Source organism: Homo sapiens, chromosome 2 (genome assembly GCF_000001405.40).
Source record: "Homo sapiens chromosome 2, GRCh38.p14 Primary Assembly".
Taxonomy (NCBI): Eukaryota; Metazoa; Chordata; class Mammalia; order Primates; family Hominidae; genus Homo; species Homo sapiens.
The window spans coordinates 104,653,835-104,659,336 of record NC_000002.12 but is presented as its reverse complement, the minus strand read 5'-3'; the positions used below and the strand labels follow the sequence as shown (position 1 = coordinate 104,659,336).

The following is a 5,502-nucleotide window of genomic DNA, read 5'->3' as shown; positions in this document are numbered from 1 at the left end:
GCGGGACGCCGCGCCTGACCCCGCCGCCAGCGCCGCGTAGCCCGATTGTTCCCTCATTAGGGCGGCCGGGAGCGGCGGAAAGGCTCGCGGCCCTTTCCCACAATCGCTGACAATGTGCGGCCGCAGGCTTGTCACAGTCGCAGGCGAGGAGAAATGGAGAGGATGTGCCACCGAGTGGGGCGCAAGGGACATCGCATTCCCACGCGAGGAAGTGGGAGAAAGCCACCACTCAAACAGCCAAACCCAAACTCCAGACCCTGCACCGCCTGGGGTAGTTTCTTCTGGGGTTTTGGTGGCGGCTGTCAAGACCCATAGGAAATACGCTGGGGGAAGACTCCACAGCGCCTTGCAAAGAACTAAAACAACGCTTGAGCCCAGGAGTTCAAGGCTCCAGTGAGCTGTGATCGAGCCACTGCACCCAGGCCTGGGCCCCAGAGTGAGACCCTGTCTCAAAACAACAACAACAAAAAACAAAACAAACCAACACACACACACACACACACACACACACAAACACACACACACACTCCTAAATCAAGAGTTACAAAGAGCCAGACAGCCGGCGAACTTGGGCACAGGAGCGCTCTGTGCATAGGGGCAAGAAGCGCCCTGATGCAAGCGGGGCTGAACTGTGCACTCCCAGGAGCCAGGGCTGCGGCCACGTGGAGAAGGCAGGAAGGAAGCGGGCGGGGCTGTCAAGCAGGCCTAGGGCGATCAGCCCTGGCACAGGCTGCCTTCATAAGCAGGAGCCATCCGCAGTGTAGCAATCTCTTCTCCAGCCTGGCTCCTAGAAGGAGCCAGCTGATCTTTTTCCCTTTCGTGTTCTTTGCCCCACTGTGCCTGTTGCTGCTGTTCTTTCCCAGTGAAAATGCCTCCCAGAGAGGTGAGGCAGCCTCAACACCACACTTCCACGCTCTCACTTTTCCTCCTGGCCAACAAAGTGAGGACACTGCCCAGACAGTCCTCTCTCCCCCTCCTCCACCGGCCTGTTGCGTTGAAAGGGCCTTCTCTAAAACTGCAAATAAAGAGCACAGCTTCAGAGAAACCGGGCAAAGGCTCAAGGGGAAGGCACAAAAAGGACTATCTCTGTCCTGACGCTTAGATGTATACAAAAAGCTACGCTCAGATTCTTAGGTCTGTGAAATGCTATTTGAGTTGAAACACAATACCCGCCTACAGGGCATGCATAGAAAGTGATTTTAGGCGGCAATAACTTAGGGTAATTCTCTCTATTTTATAAACATCATTAACTCCTCTTATGAGATGATGCAAAAAGATTCAACGTTTCTTTGCACTTTCTCAAAAAAGTGAATTCTGGGGCTAAGGCCGTAAGCGACCACATTTATTAGCAGGTGATTCAAAATTGCGCACCCAAAGGGAAACTTCAAGAAGTTTCAGGGATACTATACACAGACTTTTAACTTGAAAACTCTTCTCAAAACAGTGTTTTTGAATTGAAAATGTGTTTAATCCTTTAATAGAATATAAAGCTAGAATTGAAAAGAAAGTTTACATTCCAATATATGATTTGTATAAAATATGTTGAAAGATATCAATTGTCTATATTTAAACTACATTTGAAAAATTCTAAGTACTCCAGAATTTTAAATTATTCTTAAAACAGAACTAAAGATATTTTCATGATGGAAAAATAATGTGAATTAAGCTTCTTAAAAAAAAGACCAAGTCTCATCTTTGGGGTGCATGTTGTCCTATTATTTTGTCCAAAGCTTTCTTGATAGGCTAAAAAGGACTTTAGGTTCTTGTGTTTAATATTTTAACAAGAACTAGGATACAGTTTGTATTCGTTTGTAAAATCCATTGCAAAGGTGATTTTGGTTGTGGCAGTTTTCCTTTCTTGTTTTTAGCAGATGGCTTTCTATTGACTGTTAACCTTAAAATCAAATGTGTAAAGCTTTTTATTTAAAAGAAAATAGTAATCTTAATTTGAGGTACATTGTGTGTAGTCTTACAGTTTGTGATGGCTGGTTTATGGTGGTGGGGAGTGTTTCTTTGTAACTTTTAGTTTTCTCTGACTCTTTAAATTTCACTGTTCACGTAGTTCTGAGCTATCTGCACTTGATCTGGGCCCAGACATATTTTGATTGTAAATAAAAAGTCTTCTTTTATGAGGATGTTCACTTCACAGCTTGAACAGTGTAATTTTTATACAGGTCTCAGCAATCAATAAAAAAGACACAGGAGGAATGATTTATCTTGTTGGTTACAGAGACTGTCACCGAGAGAAATTGTAAAAGATCAATTTACACAACCTGGTGTGAGAATGTTATTGATATAACACGGTTGATCGGTTTCTGGTTGTCTGTGCGCAGGCACTGCGGAGGGAGCACCACCACCACTCGCCAAGGTCTTAATAGACTCCGCGCTCCATAAAGTGGACACCGAGCCAGTGACGGCGGAGATGGCCCGGCGGGCGCCCACCGGCATTGGCTGCGCTCCGATTACTTCGTTAAGCAGTGTCATGCTTCTTCTTCTTTTTTTTCTTTTTCTTTTCTTTTCTTTTTTTTTTTTAATTTTTCCCTCCTACTGTGAGAACTGTTCACTTGGAGACTCCCTGTCTTAATTACAAAGAGCCCTTTTAACCATAGGTCACAGGACTTGGCTCTCTTGACAGGAAATAAGGAAACAAGCTACCTTCCTGGAAAAAAAAATTCAAACTTCTACTTCTCAAATTAGTTAAATGAAGCTTGTCGACGGTTGGGAGTTGAGCCTTATGACAGTTGGCTAATTGCAGTTGGTACATTAACTATGTTTTAACCAGAGCAGTTTGGGATCTAAGTAGATTAAAAAAATAAAGCAAGCCTAGGCATTTCCAACGAAAAACACTTAAAATAACCACAAAGTTAATATTGGTTTTACTTGCTATATGTATTACAATACAAAATGGATTCCTGTATCTTTAACATTGTAATTAAGTAAATTTACAAATATTAACATTTTTAAAATGACACTAAAGCTACTTTAAATCCTAGGAAGGCCTCTCTCTCTCTCTCTCTCTCTGCCCTTTCTTTTTTGATTCTGCCTTCAAAATGTCCTCTGTCTGTATTTTTTATATTAAATATTCGCTGCAAAGTCTATCTAGTAAATATCTGGTTCCAAGTCTGTGTACACCATTCTCAAATATAAAACTTTTCAAATGAAGATAAACCTTTAGTTGAATTGGTTTATTTTCTGATTTGATTCTTTAATGTTATTATAGAAGATGGAATATCATTTACAGTAACATTAAAAAAAACTCTGGTGGTTTTCTTATTGAAAGGCTTATAATAACAAGCAGAAATAAAGCAACCAAGATTTAGAAAAATATCGTAGTGTTTTTGCATATTTAATTTATTATTTACACTAACATATAATGTCAGAATGATAATTATAATGTGGCCTGAGTTACAAGAATATAAAAGAATAAAAAGTCTAAGAAGAAAAACTTCCAGTGTAGACTTTCAGTTATAATTTTAGTCACATTTTTTCATGTTGGTTGTCTTTCTAACAGATTCCACATTTCTGTGTGTGTGCGTGTGCATGTGTGTGTGTGTGCACACACGCCAAGCCTTTTATATTTAAACCCTGTTGTTGCCATTTTCATTTCCTTGGGAAACACACACACTTACACAAAAACACACACATCTTTTACTTGGAAAATGGATGAATCCCGTGCTTTCTGAACACCTACTTAAAAGGTAAGAATCAACTAGTTTTATGCATGCTGTTAGATCGAATTTTAATTACTAAATGTCCAATTAGTATTTATTTGCTTTTGTTTACAGAAGAGTGAATAAATGTGATTTTGCTTTCATATTTCTGTATATTAAAATTACCTAATAGCTCTCATTGTCTTTTCATTAGCTAAAATTAGTCCTCAAATCTCTCACCACATTCATTATAAACTGAACACAAACAAAAGACTGCTCACAAAATATGCTTTCCTTTCATTTTCCTCCTACCCAGGCTCTTTCATGGCATGTAGATATTCCTATCTCAATATCAATGATGCCTGTAATCTGGCATCAGAAAACTTTGCGCTTATTTCCTCTTCAGGGCTTTAACTGAATCAGCACTTATATTATGTAGCTGGGAAGGATGCTACAACTCTATAGTGGGAGCAATGTTCCCACCAGATCAGAGAAATAACTCCTCAATTTTTTTCACATCTGGAAAAGACAAACTTGCTCTTATCTTCAACTCGTGTCTTTTTTCCCCCTAAATGCAGTTTCCATTCTGGCCAATCTCCTTATGGCCGCGGGCCCTGTGATGGTCTAGTACTGACTGTTCTCTGCCCCTGTCCTCCTCCCAGCTCCACCCTCCTAACCAGATCAGCCCCTCCCCAGCATCCTACAGATCCAAGTTAAAATGCAATTTCCTGCTTTTGATAAGTAGACACTATCCAGCCAGAACAAAACAGAACACTCTGATACAATTGTCTCATGGCCAAAGGCGAGGGCAACTCCCACCCTTCAAGTTTCTCCTCATTTAATCCAGGCAGGAAATGCAATTCTGATTTTTATTCCTGTATTTTTTTAGATTTTTTTTTTTTTTTTTTTTACTATACTCTCTGGAAACATATTGACAGGGTCTGCGCATGCAAATCATCAAGGGATGCGAGGCCAAGATCCTAATTACAGGAACATTTCCAACAATCCCACCCACCCTATCAATGCAAACATTTATAGATACTTCTGATCTTGAATTCGCAAATAATCAGAAGTACCCTACTTCCAAGCTTCAAAAATGTGTTTTCACACTGGATGATAGTCTACCAGAGTGCACCTTATTTTGGGAGGGTGCCAAACTTCCTAGAAATATGGCCAAATGACTTTCCGTGGGAGCTAGCTGGCTGCATTCTCTCTCCTTAAGACAGTCGGTCCCTATACAATAACCATTAACCTTATTTGTTTGTCTCCCCTTTTCTTGAAGTAGCTAAAGTACATATAGTTATGAATAAAGCCCTCTAGGTTGTTTCATAGTGCATACAGTAGGCAGATGGAAGGGAGCTATGTAATTAATCAACCAACATGTTTCTTCAGCATGTAAAGCACTCTAATCACCCCCAAAGGGGTAACAGAAGAATGGAAGATATGGACTTTCACTGGAAAGAGCTCATAAATTGGTAGGCAAGAAATTGTGCTCAAGAGTAAAGAGTAAATATGAAATTGGATGAACTGACTATATGTTTTTCAGGAGAGTTGTTGATGTCGAAGATAGAAATAATTTTGTCTGAAGGAAATCAGAATGGAGAGGATTAGAGATGAAGAAAGAGCATAGGAGATGGTGTGAATGAAGGAATGATTCTGCCATGGTCATGGGATGGACCCATATTATGCACTGTGTAGTGATGGGAACAGGGTGGAAGAATAGGCAGCCAGCTTGTGAAGACTCTTAATGGGTATATCAGATGTTTAATAAATGTCTAGTGATTAAGTAAACGAGCTGAGATTTGAGGCAGTAGAATGTAAACCAACGAGTATTTCTGGGCAGCAGCATGGT

General features: G+C 40.5%; 1 annotated feature.

The window, feature by feature from the left end:
* Positions 724-1,235: an enhancer, noted in NCBI's record as "H3K4me1 hESC enhancer chr2:105274560-105275071 (GRCh37/hg19 assembly coordinates)". NCBI's record gives its function as "activates a minimal SCP1, AML or CMV promoter by ChIP-STARR-seq in primed H9 embryonic stem cells {active_cell/tissue: H9 hESC(primed)}" and the evidence as "EXISTENCE:reporter gene assay evidence [ECO:0000049][PMID:30033119]".